The sequence below is a fragment of the Homo sapiens genome, chromosome 3 (assembly GCF_000001405.40).
Source record: "Homo sapiens chromosome 3, GRCh38.p14 Primary Assembly".
Taxonomy (NCBI): domain Eukaryota; kingdom Metazoa; phylum Chordata; class Mammalia; order Primates; family Hominidae; genus Homo; species Homo sapiens.
The window spans coordinates 83,482,848-83,501,424 of NC_000003.12; the positions used below are offsets into that span (position 1 = coordinate 83,482,848).

The window sequence follows — 18,577 nt, forward strand, 5'->3', positions numbered from 1 at the left end:
AGAACATCCCTACTATAACAACTCTCCCCACACCCTCATGAATAATCATGTAGGACTCCCATAAAGGGAGTCTCCCTCGTGTTAGTTTTTCCTGTCTCATTCTAACGAACAGACCACACTAAATTCACTCTCTCTTAGGGTGCACTGTCTATTCCGTTCTTAACTTTCAAAATATTCTTTTTCCTTTGCAATAAATTGCTCTGTGCTGCATTTCCTTTGCTGTGTATCTCTTGTTTAAATTATTTTAAACTAAGAAGTCAAGAACCAAGTTCTCACAACAGCTGTCAACACTCTGAGATATTGATATTCCTGATTGCAAGACCCACAAAATGTCTCTGAAATTGAAATAAAAACATTCATATGATTACTGGTAGCTACATGATATGGTTTTGCTCTGTGTCCCCACCCAAATCTCATCTTTTAGCTCCCATAATTCCTACATTTTGTGGGAGGATCTTGGTGGGAGATGACTGAATCATGGGAGTGGGTCTTTCTCATGCTGTTCTCATGATAGCGAATGGGTCTCACTAGATCTGATGGTTTAAAAAAAAATGGGAGTTTCTCTGCACAAGCTGTCTTTTGCCTGCTGCCATCCACATAAGATGTAACTTGCTCCTCTTCACCTTCCACTGTGATTGTGAGGCCTCCCCTGTAATGTTGAACTGTAAGTCCAATTAAACTTCTTTCTTTTATAAATTGCCAAGTCTCGGGTACGTCTTTATCAGTAGTATGAAAACAGGCTAATACACTACATAATGTGGTACAGGTATCCACAAATGTAGAGGAAAGTACATTTTTCATAATTTATTTAAATTGGTTGTATAAGCATGATAAAATTTGCTACCGTTTTTAATAATGGCCAAAATTTAACCATATGACTATAAATTTTATTATCTAATATTTTTTAGAAAGTAAATGTACAACTTACTTTTTTGTTTTGTCTAGATTGCTTTTTAAATGGATGCATATTTACACAGCCTCAGGGTACATGTGATAATTTAATACATTAATATAATCTGTAACGATCAAATCAGTGTACTTGAGATATTCATCACTTTAAATATTTCTCTTTTCATTATGCTAGAACCATTCTAATTCTTCCTCTCTAGCTATTTTGCAATATAAAATACTTTATTGTAAACAGCATTAGGTCTTATTTCTTCTAGCAAGCTATACACCTGTACCCATTAATCAGCTTCTTTTCATCCCCCTCTCCTCCTTACCCTGCTTAGCCTCTGGTAACGACCACCCTACTTTCTATCTTCATGAGATCCAAATTTTTGGCTCCCACATGTAAGAGAGGAGACGCAATGTCTTTCTATGCCCAGTTTATTTCCCTTAACATAAAGTCCTCCAATTCCATATATAGTTGCAGATGACAAGATTTGGTTGTTTTTTGTGGCTGAATAATGACCCCATTATGTATACATACCATATTTTCCTTATTCATTCATCCATTGATTGAATTTTCTTTTTCTGTACAAATTCATATATTTTTCAGATTCTACTTAAGCAAAAGTGTTTTGATCCTGAATAAAATTTAAATGTTAAAAATGCATCTCCTAAAATATGTGTATTAAGCTTTTATAAAAAATTAAACTTTAGTGTTTTATGTGATTTGACTATATAATAAAATATTCTCTAGATTCATAAATTTAGTATTCATAGTTTAAATTTTATTGGTTTCTAGGTCCTGATAAATTTCCAAACCTGTCCAAGTACTGATTTAACCACCAAAGATTATGCTTTTCTGTGTGTGAGATTATGCTTTCTTGTACGTATGAGATTAGAAGATATTTTCATGTAACATTAAAAATCATTATAAATGTTGACGTTAACTCATTACTAATAAGTATTACAAAGTAATTAATGAGATGTTATTTTTATGTAATGGCTTTGATACTAATCATCTAATAAATATCTTTTAAACTTTATAAAATTTGGAAGTAGAAAATTATAGTTTATGTTTCACACACACATTTTTCACAATCAATTTGTCATTCTTTTGATTTGAATTAGCTTGGGCCAAAAGTAAAAATCTCATTTTTCTTATCCACCTCCAATTCTCTGAGTGTGCACTTTTTGGTTAAAATCAAAACTAGATTAAAAGCACAGATATCATAAGAGGCAGATTCTTGAGCCATTTCCTGCTGTTCTTAAATCTATGCTTTTTTGTCTAACTCTTTCTGGATGGAGAATAATGTGTTTTTTATTTCCTTATTTCCATTTTTTGGATTGCCTTCAGTATAGCACCAACAAACTGACAGTTTTAAGTTAAGAAAGTGCTCATGAAAGGGATAAAGTAAAATAGGGACCTTTAGAGCATCTTTTTTCTCCACAATCCTCTCTTTCTTCAGCTAAATGGAAGTAGCAGCAATCACAGCTTTTTATGTTAGTGTTGGCATTTTATAAAGACTATATGCAGCACATTATTAATCATTTTATAGTGATATTTTAGATTAAATTAATATTTTATGTTATTTTATAATTACATTTTATCTGCATATCTATTTTTCATTGATTATTGTTACACTATATTATGTACAAATAATGAATATGGGGCATTGGCTGTAAATTTCTGTATGACAGCCAGAGTATTAAAATATCAAGTTAGGTATACCTTTGTTGACCACTAGTTAATATATTAATAAGAGTTATTTCAGTGGTAAGCATGGCATAGTTCCTTCCCGATGAAGCATAACATGCTTTTTAAAAGGTAAAACAACAAGTTAGTGGGCAATTACTCAAAGTGTTAAGTACCTGGGAAGTAGAAATCATAAATGAGAGTCATGTAATAAAGTCCTCTTGGCTTATGTATGGAAGGGAGCCAGTCAGCAGAGAACTAAAGGCATTCACAAAATAAATTACAGATAAACTGAAGCATTAAGATCAAAGTTAGCCAGTCAAGAAGGTGAAGCATAGAAAACAGTATGTTCCAGCTTTCAGTGGCTAGGGAAAGAGTACCACAATTAAGCAACTGAAAAGACATTTTAGTGGGGACATGGGGAGAAAAAAATTACAGGAAAAGAGGGTAAACAGGCAAGCGGAAACCAAGCATACCTTATTTTGGAAGTCATGTAAATAAAGTTTGAATTTTATTATCAGATCACTAGTTTACAGTCCTTTTCTTATTTAGGAAAAAGCAATGAATGATGCTAATTGGTAATGGAGATTAGGTTTTGAATATCCTAAGTCAGTCAAGGAAGAAATTACACACATACCTGATGTGTTGTTTTCAGATAAACATAGATAACTGGTATTTATTAATAAACTATTAGGTTAAATTTATAATTTATATTGCTAGGGAATTTGGTAAATAATGCCTAGAATTTAGAAGAAGAATGAAATGAACAGTTTCTAGCATAAAAAAAGAAAAGCCATACAGAAGTTCCTTGAGACCGGAATATATCTCTGGAACTAGTGTCAAGAAAAAAGTAGAGCCTGGCAAAGCCATAGTCACTGGGGAATATCTACCCTGACATCTATGGTTGCTGCTTTCAGGTAGAGGACATTAAGTGGTCAGTTATTTACAAAAGGAGTAGAATAAAGTAGAATATTGTCTGCAGGGACTTACTAGCAAACTGCCTGGGATCTAACCCTGGTTTTGCAAATGACTATGTATATAACCTAAGATATTTTGATTCTCAGTGTCCGTTTCTATAGAATAAAAATAACAATAGCATCTACTTTATCAAAGGATTATTGTGAGAATTAAGTTAGCATCTGTAAAGACAAACAATATATGGAGTACAGAGATCACAGGTTCTGCTTAAATTTTAGCTGCTACTATTATTTCTGAATCTGGAGGTGGACAAGGGTAGAATAGGTAGACTTACTTTGAAATTATAATTTATCATCTATAGCTAATAAATTTAAGTTTAAATTTCTTGTATAGATGTATATTAAACCTTTTTGCGATGAGCAATTGGGTATATAAATAAGGTCATCATATACTTTATTACACAAACAGGAAAATTTTGAGATTGAAAATGGGTGTTATTAATAATTATGGCTGAAAAATAGGTGACACTGGGACTATCTTCAGTCAACAGAGAACTTGTGGCCTCAGTACCAGGTTTGATGTTACAATTTGTGCTCTCAGAAATAAAAATTCTTTGATCATGTCTTTTTAAGTAAACTTGTATTTGGAGTTTTCAATAAGGCCAATAATTTTTGATATCGTTTATGTAGGTCTTTAATGCTTTCAAACATATTATATGTTTTTATTTCCCACAATACGGACATAAAGCAGGTAATATGTTTAATTATCACTGTTTCACAGGTGAGGGAATTGATATGTGGTAAATATAAACATATTTCTTGAAGGTAAAGTTTACTCAGCTAATTAGCATTAAAGGCAAGATCCAGTGCAGGCATTTTGTTGTCACACCAACATTCTTATACGGTACACCAAAAGCTCTTGCAGAATCTTATCAGGAGGGTAACATAATCATATTTCTATTTTAGAGAGTTAATACAGTTCTAATGTTGGAAAAACTTCAGGGGTAAAATGCTGATGCAGAGAGAGCGGTTACAAAAATGCTGAAGTACATAAAGTCTAGAGTGAATGGAGAAATACTGAACAAATAGCGTTCATATGGATTAAGATTTTGATTAGACATTGGTGGAGGGGCAGAGAGAAGAAGTGGATATGGCCTCTCAAATCCCTTGGGAAACTATGTGCATAATTACACTCTTTATTCATTTTCAGTCAGTAGGCATTTTCTCTCTCACAAAATATGTGAACTTTGATTTAGTAAGGTATAAGCTAGATAAGTGGATGTCCTGATTATCATCCTTAGTGTAGAAAGAGACATTTTAGAGCAATCAATTTTGAAGTTTTAGATTAAAATAATATGCTAAAATATTATAAAAAACTGAAATTTTAGTAATCATGTAACAATCGCTTTGCATTTGCTTGATTATATCTTCTTTTACAAACATAGACAAAAATATATTTTAAGGATAAATTAAGAGACATGTTTTTACAAGATCTTATAATAATCATTTTCTTTGTATATTTTTAAACAGGAATGAAAGGTATTTACATGAAAAATATTTTCATGATTCCAATTTACTTTAGCAGTCGCTGATAACAATTTCAAAATTTTAAGGGCAATAACTGGTCCTCTTTCTTCTTAGTGTGAATTAAATCCTGGTCGTGTTACATATTGAATTGTGTCCTTCCCCGAAATTCATTTGTTGAAGTCCTTACCCCCAGTACTAAAAAATGTGACCCTATTTGAAAATAGATGCAGATGTAATTAGTTAAGTGAAGATGAGGTCATTAGCATGGGCACTGATCCTATATGAGTGGTGTTCATATCATAGGGGGGAATTTGAGACAAATGCATTCATAAAATGCCACTGAAGACGAAGGTAGAGATCAGAGCAATGTTCTACAAGCCAAGGAACAACACAAATTGCCAGCAAGACACCAGACTCAAGGTGAGAGGCACAAAACAGATTTTTTTTTTTCTCATAGCCCTCAGAAAGAACCAACCCTGCTGACACCTGCTGCTGGTCCCTGGACTACAACGCTGTAACAAAGGTTTTTAACTACCATGTAGTTTTCAGATGAAAATAATCATCACCTTTAAACAGATTGTCATTGTTAATGACATGAATATCAGGATTTTCATATTTTGAAATCACAGAATAAGAATTCTTTAGTCTAATTCTCTATTATATAGACAATGAAATAATAATACTAATAGAAGCAAAAAGGTTTAATCATGTATTGACTATTTGTCATGATCTAAGCAGATTAAGCTGAATGAGGTTAGAACTGCTCTTGCTTAAAATTCCTGTGCTGGGGTTAAAACGCATTCTAATTCCAGACCTTACTCCATTAAATCACTACCTTGACTCCACCCTACATTTGTGTATTAGTGTACATATGTCTGTGTGTATGCATAGATCCATGAATGCACATATGTATATGTGCATGTATAAATGTTTGTATGCTTCCTTTGAGACCACTTTAGATACCATGGCTAATTTCAAATTTTAGAAACTGTTTTTTCTCAGTTTCCCATCTTTAGTTTCAATTATTTTGCTATGTGCATTCTTCACTTTTTCATTTATTCCGTTATGACTTCCACCTCCTGATTGCTTCATGCTTTCTAGTTATCTTATAATTTCAGATGTATCAACCAAGCATCATAGTCATTTAAATTCTACCTATTCTAGCAATATTAAATTGCTAAATCCCTAGCCTCTTCCATGGCTAATTCATGATTTGTAGTCCATCTTCCATAATCCCCCAACCATTGTGTTCATTCTTTTACAGCAACCATTTTTTTAAAATGTCATAAAATACAGGTTCATTGGATCTATTTCAGATACAAATATTTTACTCATAAAAGCATACTAATTATTTTATTTATCTCTTACTTTAAAAATATATAGTTTCTTGCTTACTGTAAAAATTTGTACTGTTTTTAGTTGAAAAATAAAGCAGAAATCAATCAATGACTCAGAACCTAAGGGTTACATGAAATATAAAGGGATAGGTCTAGAATCTTACAAGTGATTTTTAAAATGAGTTATATATATGCTACTGGATAACATTTTAACTCTGCTTTTCCTTTATTGAACCATATATGGGGTACCAGATACAGTTATTTTTACCACAGTTGTAGAAATTTAAACAAGACAATATAATTTTAACACAGCAATGAAAACGACTAAACTCTTGAAATGCTCAATAACAATGGTGACTACTTCAAACATAATGTTCAGTGAAGCAAGCCAGATTTCGCTTATGAATATTGAATAGATTGTTTATGAATATTAAATAAATGTAACTATAAAATATAGATAATATATTTTATAAAAGAGACAATTCTCTACTTTATAGTTGCATTTATTTAATATTCATAAGCAATTCAAACTAACCTGGGTTTTATAAGTTGGGGTAGTTCTCATCTTTGGGAGTTTAGTGGATGGAAGCGGGTAAAGGTGCTATTCAACTTTGTACAATTCTATTGAGTGGCATTCTTATGTCTTATGTATTTTAAGAATACAACATTTAAATCAAAAGTGTATTAAAAAAGAAAAGATTGATGTATTACAAAATGTTAGTATTTGGTCAGTTTGAGTATTATATTTTCTACAACTTTTTATATACTTAATATTACACACTTCAATATTAAATGGAATCATATAACATTTGCTTCATTTTGTCTTATGCTTCATTTGCCAATATAATATTAAGGTAGATGGAGATAATATCTAATATAGGATTGAATAATCAGCTGGTCATTGTGTTAATTTGCATGGGAAATATTCCTAATCTCCTGGCTGAGCATCACTGGACAAAGTCCATCCACCAGGATAGGCTTGTACCCTTTCTGAATGTTAAGGATCCAATAACTGCTGTTGCCTATTTCATCCCTCTCCTCCTCGGATTGAGAGGATGAGTTCTGGGTGATTTGAGAATGCAGTATTGTGTCCTTATCCTCAGGCTGAGAAACTGTTCGATTATTGTCTCATCATCCTGAACTATCTTCTTTTCTGCCATTGTATCTGCTCTTTCCCATCTATAGTCAGTAACAATCGTTGCTGCTATTAGTATCACAGCTACTTTTCATTTTTTCTTCCTGTCTTGTTCATTATCTGCACCTTTCCTCTTGCTTTACGCAAAAAGTCAGTTCCAGTTCTCTTCCTCCTGTTCTTTCTTTCTCTTTCCCCCTGCTATTTTGTTTATTGGCTTTGGCTTGATACCATTTCTCTAAGACTGTTCTAAGTTAAATGATTAGGTACAACCTATAGGATATATATTTCATCACAACTAATTATTTTGCCATTTTTTTTCTCCCAGAGTTATAGTTAATATGTTACATTTTATCTTTCCTTATTTTTCTTTGTTGGTTTTTGCTTCTAGGTATAAGTTTTTCTTCTCCACATGAATAAAATTTTAAACATTTTGTATGTGTGTATGAGTATTTATGTTAACCAAAGTTACCAATAGTAGTTCATATTTTTAAAAATATAAAAGATATATACAGGAAAATGTAATAATTTCATTGATGAAGTGATGATAATTTAGTTAGGGTGTGTTCTGTAGACCTACAAAGGGAAACCGCATGCAGATATTTGGTATAAGTTAGCATTCTTCCAATATCAAACTATAATTGATTTTGAGCCTGAAAAGAATCAGCTTCTCCAATCTTGTAAAGATATACAACTAATGTAGGCTTCTGAATTTATTTTTAAAAGATCATTTAAAATTGAAACATGTAATTTCTAACTTGAGCTTTTATTAAAGTGGTAGGAATATCAGAAACTCTGCTCAATAAATATTGTGATGTTTCTTCATTATTTAGCTTGGATAATTTTTTTCAACCAGTTCCTGAGCTCCTTTTCCTACCTGCTTCCTTGCTTGTCTTGAGATTTAAATGTGATATGTTTTAAAAGCAATATTCAGAGGCCAGACACGGTGGTTCACTCCTGTAATTCAGCACTTTGGGAGGCCAAAGTGGGCAGATCACTTGATGTCAGAAGTTTGAGACCAGCCTGGCCAACATGGTGAAATCTTCTCTCTACTGAAAATGCAAAAATTAGCCAGGTGTGGTGATGCATGTCTGTAATCCCAACTATTTGGGAAGCTGAGGCATGAGAACTGTTTGAACCTGGGAGGCAGAGGTGGCAATGAGAACAATTCAGATAGTACATAATACAAAAGAACTCTAAGAAGAAATACATTGTGTATATTTTTTTTGTCCATGACTATTATTATTACTTAAATTGGCAAGCATTAATTTGCTCTTAGTATGAACTAGGAATACAGTAATTTAAACAAACAATTGTACCATGTGAATTTGTATACTGCTAAAGCTAATCTTTGAAGAATATTTTTCTAACTTGAGGCATAAATGAAATTAGATGTATCTGGGACATTTTGTTGTATGCTTACAAGAACTTCAAGACACTAAATGACTGAAGCATACTTAAATATATCTACATATTTTAGTCTTTGCAAGCAGAGAAGAGAAATAGTGTAAAATATGAGTAAACCTGGCAATCTCTTTAATAAAAATATGCTAAGACCTGCAGTGTTCATTGGCCTTGGTGGCCACATATTATTATCCAGGTAGAAAGAGGCTAATAGTGACAATAATCATGCAATAACACAATAAAGGGTCCAATATTTATTTCAAAAAATGATGAAAAAATCCAATACCTGGAAGAAAGCTAACTCTACTCCCTAGGAGAGCCTAGATGACACTTCTAATTATAACAAAGAATAAAAAAGGAACAGATCAGATCAATAAATCATAAATACAGCACACTAGATCAGGCACTGTTCTGGGAAAGACTCATGTTTCAGAAATTAAACTCCATAATAAATTCTGAGATACCATAGCCCCATTCTATATAATGGAAACTATATTACAAAAACTTGTCTAATGATTAGACTTGGCAAAAAAAATTAACTCATAATATTAATGCATTCACCAATAAAAAATGTAAAAATAATCATGAGCATACCATCTCATGCACAAAAGCCATTTAACTATGTAACAATCTATTAATAATGTAGCCAGATTAGTCAGAAAAGTCAGCTTTGCAAAGGAATATTATTATTTTTCAGTTGTTTTCCTCCTACCCATGAAAAAAATCTTCCCTGCTTTACTCTCAAACAATAATTCATTGAATAGTGTTGAACAATAAGAAAAATTATAGATTTGAATATTCTTCATTATTAAACTTTTATTGAGTACATTGTTAATTACCAACCTGGTACAATGTTTAATTGTTGCATTACAAATTTCAATCACTCGCCTCCACTTGCAGAGCCCCACTTATGGGCACTACCACACCTGCAAACCCTGCTGTGCAGGGAAACTTAGGAAACTCTATATTCTATTCAGCTATTCTTCCCCTTTGTTTATTGGTTTAAAAGTGAAAAAAAATGAATTTAAATGCAGCTGTAAATTTTGTAGAATTTATTGTGGTATAGAATTAAAAGAATTAAAAATATGGAAGGAATAACAGTGATCAACTTAAATTATGATGAAAATTGGAAAAATAAAATAATTTATGTCAAAGAAAGACATAAATTTGAGCTAAGAATAAGCTCAACTTATATGCAGATGATTATGGTGGTAGAAGTAGATATTGGATTCTCGAAATTTTGAAAAATAAGGAGAAAATAATATTGTGCAGGGGATAATTGATGATGCAAAAAAAAAGGAAGGCATAATTGTAAGTACAAGATTTTTAATGAAGAAGTTTAGTGTAGAATGAAGAACACGGAGGTAGGTTTCTTAATCAGGAGGGTAATTGCCACTTTGTAGACAGAGTTTATGAAAGAGGAGTGACAGAATACACAGAATGTTTTCATGCATTTATCTGAAGTTAAAGTTTCAATATTTTCTTCTAATAGTGATGTAATCTACTTTTTAATACTTGGCAAACTTAGATATCTGACTCAGTTCCACCTTTTAGATTGTAACAACATTTTTCTAAATTTTTTCTTATATAAATTATTTACAGCCAATATCAAATAACATTATATTAATGAATGTTTATGAAAACCCAGGCCATCTTCATTACATACTATTATTTACAGCTTTTGATGGGTATTCTAAAATATAAGCTTATTAAAAAAACGTTTTTTTATCATGTTGAATCTAATACTTCAAATAAAAAATGTTTACTTTATATATATATTTTTTGCTCTCAAATGATTAAATGATAAAATATTAAAATTAAATTGACTATAGCAATAATTAAAATTACATACCTATCTAGATTACTGTTTTGACAAAACTCAATGTGAAATTGTTTAAAGATGAAGTTAGTTATTGAAAAGCAAAATACACAAATTTTCTGGGAAAAATTCATATTGCCAATATAAGTAGTCTAAGAAATTTGGCACAATAATTAAGAATCTGCATGGTTACATAAAAAAGCACTCTATTAAAGAGAAAGAAATAAAGGGAATTCATATTGTTAAAGAGGAAGTAAAACTGTCACTGTTTGCTGATAATATGATTGTTTACCTCGAAAACCCTGAAAACTCTTCCAGAAAGCTCCTAGAACTGATAAAATAATTCAGCAAAGTTTGTGGATACAAGATTAATGTACTCAAATCAGTAGCTCTTCTGTACACCAACAGCAACCAAGTGAAGAATCAAATCAAGAACTCAAACCCCTTTACAATAGCTACAAAAAAATAAAATATACTTAGGTATATACCTAAGCGAGGAATATAAAGACTTCTACATGGAAAACTACAAAACGCTACTGAAATAAATCATAGATGACACAAACAAAGGGAAAAACATTCCATGCTCATGAATGGGTAGAATAAATATTGTGAAAATGAGCATACTGCCAAAAGCAATCTACAAATTCAACACAATCCCTATCAAAATACCACCACAATTCTTCACAGAATTAGAAAAAAAATTTTTTTAAATTCATATGGAACCAAAAAAGGTCCTGCATAGCCAAAACAAAACTAAGCAAAAAGAACAAATCTGGAGGCATCACATTAACTGATTTCAAATTATACTATAAGGCCATAGTCACCAAAACAGCACGGTACTAGTATAAAAACAGGCACATGGACCAATGGAAGAGAACAGAGAACCCAGAAATAAACCCAAATACTTACAGCCAACTGATCTTCAACAAAGCAAACAAAAGCATAAAATGGGGAAAGTACACCATTTTCAACAAATGGTGTTGGGATAATTGGCTAGCCACATGTGGGAGAATGAAACTGGATCCTCATCTCTCACCTTATACAAAAATGAACTCAAGATGGATTAAGGACTTAAATCTAAGACCTGAAACTATAAAAATATAAGATAACATTGGAAAAACCCTTCTGGACATTGGCTTAGGCAGAGTTTCATGACCAAGAACCCAAAAGCAAATGAAATAAAAACAAAGATAAATAGCTGGGACTTAATTAAACTAAAGAGCTTCTGCACAGAAAAAGGAACAGTCAGCAGGGTCAACAGACAACTCACAGAGTGGGAAAAAGTCTTCACAATCTATACATCTGACAAAGGATGAATATCCAGCATCTACAACAAACTCAAATCAGCAAAAATAAACAAACAAAATCTCATCAAAATGTGGGCTAAGGACATGAATAGGCAATCCTCAAAAGAGGATATAAAGATATACAAATGGCCAAGAAACATATTTAAAAAATGCTCAACATAACTAATGATCAGGAAAATGCAAACCAAAACCACAATGCAATACCACCTTACTTCTGCAAGAATGGCCATAATCAAAAAGTTAAAAAACAGTAGATGTTGGCATGGATGCAGTGATCATGGAACACTTCTACACTGCTGGTGGGAATGTAAACTAGTACAACCACTATTGAAAACAGCGTGGAGATTCCTTAAATAACTAAAAGTAGAACTACCATTTGATCCAGCAATCCCACTACGGGGTACCTACTCGGAGGAAAATAAGTCGTTATACAAAAGACACTCGCACACACATGTTTATAGCGGCACGATTTGTAATTGCAAAATCGTGGTACCAACCCAAACGCCCATCAATCAACGAGTGGGTAAAGAAACTGTGATATATATATATCTCACATATACTACTATATATATATATACCTATCTAGATATATATATCTAGTAGTACCCATGTATACTACTATATACATATAGTGGTAATTTATCATATATGTATATTGTATATGTATATGATATACATGTATATGTATATATGTGTGTATATATACAGATATGTATATATGTATATACACATATCTATGTATATGTATATACACATATCTGTGTATATATGTATATACGTACATATATATGCATATAGATATATATGTATATCTACATGTATGTGTATACGTATATCTACATATCTACGTATCTATGTATATCTACATATCTACGTACATATGTAGATCTACATATCTACGTATCTATGTATATCTACATATCTACGTACATATGTAGATCTACATATGTATATCTACATATATGTATATCTACATATATATGTATATATGTATATCTACACATATGTATATATGTATATCTACATATTTATGTATATATATACGTGTATATCATATACATATACATATATACATATATATGATTAATTACTACTATATATAGTAGTATACATGTACTATATATATAGAAGTATACATATATATGTACTATATGTCTATAGTAGTATACATGTATACATGTATAACCTGATTGTAGGCTTTGAAAAATGTCACAAATATATTTTAAATGTGGAAACTATGAATCTAAACAGAAGTATTAGAAAGCTCTGGCAAGATTGTGGAACATTATATCAAAATGCTGATCATTTGGAATTTTAGTTTACAGATTGTCTAAGAATATTAATATGGTTGCTCTTGGCTAAACTGCTAAATTTTGGGCTAAAGTAACACATATTGTAGAATAAAAACAAAACAATGTGTATTCTTTTCTTCAAGATTACTTTTTTATTTTTATCTTATTTTTCCTCCATGTTTTTTCTCAGTACATGTTCTCTTCATATTAATTTTCCGAAATTTGTTTTTCATTTGTTGTGTTAGTATTGTGCATTTTTGAAAATATATATAAAATTATAAATGTTTAAGTTTATCAATTATACATATAGTTAAGGATATATAATTGATACTTAAACATTTATAGTTATACATGTAAATATTTAAATGTTTAAATTTTTCCTGGGAAAGTAGCATAAAAATAAATAATGCATACAGTGGGCTTCTCAAAAAGAATGCTTTTATTGCACCATGAGATCAGGAAACGTTCAATAAATGCTGACTTCTGCTGTTTCAGCATATTTTGAGATCAAGTCAGGAAGAACCATACACTTCAGACTAAGCTGAATATAAAAGGAAAGAGAATTATTTAAGGCACAGCTGTTGGAACAGCTACTCTTTCTAGTATAGAAAGATAGCAAATAGTAGCTAGTCAATGGGTTTTATAAAATGAATACATTGTTCAGAAAAATAGGATTTGTCAGTGTTGGTATTCTCGGGTCAAAATTGTCAATGTATTTTGTTAACACTTATCACTCTCCACAGTTGGTATACTACTATTGTGAAAAAATGTATCCCAAATTAAATTTGACAACGTAATTATGGGAAAATAGTACATGAATGAAGAATATTTGTGAAATGAAGGAGAGATGAATTTTCAAATACTTTTTAAAAAAAGAAAAACACAAATCTCATAGAAAAGATACTGCATCAAATCATTCTATCTGCAACTGTCTAAAAATGATATCTTTTAAAGGATGCAAGTTTACTGTGCTAGAAGCAAACCAAACTATTGTAATATGTGTTTTACATTTTTTTGAGTTTAATATTCTTGGCATATGTTAAAACTACTGTAAATATTCTGAATGATTTATATAAGAGCTTTTTTTTCTGGATACATGCCTATATTGATTGCCACATTAAATGGATTGTGAAACATTCATGTATTTGAATTGCCATCAGAAATAATTGTAAGTTCATGTCTTCTAAATCTCCCAGAGATTTTAGATGTACTTTTCACTTTTTAAAAGCAGTCTCCCTGTCATTATATGGTGCTTAATAATTAATTAATATTTAGCCAATATAATAAATCATACTTGGATACTTAGTTTCTTCAAAACCCTTACCTCTGTTTTTGTTTTCAAGCTTCTTCACTGACTTTCTCACCCTCTGTGATACGTGACAAGACACAAATTTTACAGAGCAAAATATCATATAGGGATATCGTAGAGATATATGATGTAATAAGAGTTAAAATAAGGGATTTGCCCCAGTCCTAGATATCACAAAAAGTATCTATGAGAAAGGAATGGTTGGTTATAAAGTTATTAAAAAATGAGTAAAAGTTTATTAGGCAAAGTGTAGAGAACCAAATTCCAGATGTTAGAAGAGAGAAATCTCATGAAGAGGTGAGTATGGTTTCTTTTATCACACTTGAAAGCAGAGGAACTAAAACACAAAAGGTGCTTGAGAAAGTAGGGTGAAGTTTCCATGCAGGGTTTCATTAAATTTTCTGATTTTTTTTTGTAGATACCAAATGAAGACCATTTAGGCATTTGAAGGACACAATTAGGTTTATATTGATGAGATATTGCTGACCTGGGCATACCACTAGCTTCAAGAGTAGGACTTTCTTGATTCTCATTAAGACTCATTCTTTATATTTCAGATCACAGTGAATGAAATAGGCCTTGTGTATTCTTTCTTTTCTCTGCTTTTTTTTTTTTTTTTTAGTTAATGCTGTGAGAACTCAGAGATCATCACATATGTAGTATTAGTTTTCTATACTGTGTAATATATCACCACACAATTAACAGACTAAAATACTATAAGTCCGCTACCTTACATTTCCTGAGAGTCACAAGTTCAGGTATGGCTTAGCTGTATTCCTGCAGAAGGTCTGACAAGGCCGCAATCTAGATGTTGGCAATAACTGCTTCTCATCTGCAAGGTTGACTTGGAAAGCATCTGCTCCTCCCATTTTGTGACTGTTGGCAGCATTCAATCTTTGTAATAGTAGAATTCATAGCAGCTGCCTTTTTGACAATAAGTAAAGATAGGGAGACTAGAAAGAGTCTGCTAGCAAGATGAAATCTTATATTAGGTAACTTTATCATAGAAGTTGTATCTCATTACTTTTGTCATATTATTGGTTAGAAGTAAGTCACATTTCTGACCACATTCAGGAAAGGGAAGCAGCATGGATATGGCGATTATACAAAAACATTTTAAACATCAAAGCACAGAGATTAAAACTCCATCTTCCATGTTCTTGCTTTCTGCCTTTGTCTTTTAGATGTTTTTTCCTTCCACCAGGCAACATTGGTGTCTGGATTTACTGTCCTGGCTGCACACTCAATACACAAATGCATTTTCATTGCCACCTGATATTTTCTGGTTTCATTCTCCTGGATCATTATAGTATGAAATAATTTCATGATTCATAGTGATAAGATCAGGAACTTATATTGGAATGTTTGGGTAAGGAGGCATTGAATACACAGAACTCCTCTATTGCAGTATTAGATGGTTTTTCCTATGAATCACATAATAAAATATTTGTTTTATTAATAAATTAACAAAACAAAACAAGGTTTTTCTTAAAACAGGAACAAAATGATTGTATTTTGTTTATTTTTGTTCACCAATTTATTTCCAACATCTACACCAGTGCCCAAATCATAGTCAGTGATATGCAAACAATTGTTGGACCAATGCTTGAATACATACATGCATAAATAATGAAAGAATATGTGGGTTAATCAATCTGGTTAATATGCCTCCCAGTGAGAGAGCATAATATCAACATCCTTCTGCTCAAAAGAGTGATCATTTCAGGTTCCCAGGCTAAAGGTCATGCCATTTGAAGTATAACATCCTTGAAAGATAATCAATGTTTTCTTTCAAACATGTGTTGCACTAAGAAATTACTAAATGTATTTTCTTTTCAGAAACAAATGCAGATGTTAAATCTCTTTTGTTCTTTTCAAACAGAGCTTTTTAAAAATTAGAAATTATTTCTTAGCATAAAGTTGGAAATACCTTACCTAGTTTGAGAATACTCCACAAGAACACTGCTATCAAGATTTCTGTTAATTTTCTAAGCCTTTAATATCCTCCTGCTTTTCTATAGTGTTACAAATTACTTTGGGCACCGTTTTAGAAATCTAGTTCCTATAGCCATTCAAATTACATTAACTTGTTAAAAAATAGATTTTAATAAGTGTACTTCAAAATAAAACTAAATATTTAGAAACCATAAAAATTCATGCTCAGGCATAGTGAATAGCCCCTTATTCATTATAAATACCTTTCAAGTGGACCCAATAATTCTTTCTTGAGCTTTTCTTTCTCATTAATAATGATGTGACAGAATAGATATACAAGTAATTTCACGTTTACATTTTTTATATTGTAGGAAAAAAAATCAAACAGCAAAAGAGGAGTGTTAATGGGATAATCTATAGCTCTCTTGATACTGCTCAAGCTGTAACTGACATTTCTTATCGTTTTCCTAAACAACCCATTCTAGATCCCCAGTTTGTACTTCTGCTGGTTTAAGTAGTTTGCCTGTTGCACTGACCAAAACTTTTATCAATGAAATATCAAGGACTCTGTATCACATATTGAGTTCTTCAGAAAATAAGTTAAAATATTTGAGGTCCAGGATTTATATTAAATCCTGTGAAGAGGAGGCAGGATTAGGCAGAAGAAGAATATAATATGGGCCTGATAATGCCACGGCCAACCCAGCAATGAGTTCTGGAGCTAACATTATCTTTCAGAGTTGCCTATTTTCAGGACAAAATGGCCAGGCCTCTATACATATGGCTCAGCCATAACATGAAGTCTTCCTAGAAAGAGTATGACCTCAGGAGAAGCAAATCTATGCAGCTGAGGTCCACACTTAAGTAATAATTGACAGCTAGAGGCTGTCTACTGACTATACTTCCTACAGATGGACAGAATACCCTTAAAGGGGGACCTGGGTGACACATCTCCATGTGTGCCTGTCAGGTTCTGAGGTCCAAGAGGAGTTGGCGGGTGAGTGGCAGGTAGCTGCAAAAACACTCGAGGAATCGTAGACAGTTTCCACGTGGCTTTACTCTTTCTCTGGGCATAGAGTGAGCCATATGTACAGCACTAGCAGGATAATTATACCTTTACAGACAATAGTGGCTCTGAGCCAAGCACAAGCTCACGTGGGTGATCACCTAATGCACCTCACATGGCATGGTTACATAATGCGCGGGGTTGTGTGTCTGCCCTCCAAACCTGCTGAGTCATGTTATGGTGAAAGAGCTCCTCAGCTTACTCCAGACCAAAGTGCAGCCATTTCCCTTACACTCCATCCCCTGGGCTGAGGGCCTCATCCAGGCAGCGACTCATGCCCATAGAGCAGAGCCCTGATTCCATAACCCACAACAACTAACTATACAGAGAGCAGAGCTTACTACTAGGATCCCAGCTATGCTACTTGTGACTATAGGGCTCAGCGTAGTCCAGAGTCTAGGGATGCCCACCATCTCTGCAGGGGGTTGTCAATAAGACTCTCGACCACCTTAATCTCCCATGAGACCCCTTGCAGGGCTGCTGTTATGTTCTGCTGATTGTCAGAGATAAAGGTACAACATTGTGTTCCTAAAAGGGCACAGGAGCCTCCTTGGGCAGCAGTTATTATGCCTAAGGCCATTGGTTTTGCAACACCACCTTTCTGATCTGATCAACCTCATCCATTAACAGGAGGAGGGCCAGTCAAGTGTGATTCAGAGCCCGAGCGGTGTGATCTACAAGAGCAGTAACTTGTGCTTCTATAGTTATGACACCCACTTCAGGGATAGTCATTGCCAAGGAGTAGAACCACCAGAGGGCTCACTGTACTAGCAACAACTGATAGTGTACCACCTTCCAGTTTTGTGGGTGTCTGGGCAATGTGGGAGAACAGTGGCAAGTATGTAAGGCCACCCCAAGATACAATGTACAGTCCTGTCTGCTGGTAGGTAAGGTCACCCTGTGTCCCCACAGACCCATGAACTCCCAAGAAGGGGCACAAAATTCACT

At 32.8% G+C, this 18,577-nt stretch overlaps 2 annotated features.

Moving 5' to 3' along the window:
* Positions 17,219 to 17,720: an enhancer, noted in NCBI's record as "H3K27ac hESC enhancer chr3:83549217-83549718 (GRCh37/hg19 assembly coordinates)". NCBI's record gives its function as "activates a minimal SCP1, AML or CMV promoter by ChIP-STARR-seq in primed H9 embryonic stem cells {active_cell/tissue: H9 hESC(primed)}" and the evidence as "EXISTENCE:reporter gene assay evidence [ECO:0000049][PMID:30033119]".
* Positions 17,721 to 18,220: an enhancer, noted in NCBI's record as "H3K27ac hESC enhancer chr3:83549719-83550218 (GRCh37/hg19 assembly coordinates)". NCBI's record gives its function as "activates a minimal SCP1, AML or CMV promoter by ChIP-STARR-seq in primed H9 embryonic stem cells {active_cell/tissue: H9 hESC(primed)}" and the evidence as "EXISTENCE:reporter gene assay evidence [ECO:0000049][PMID:30033119]".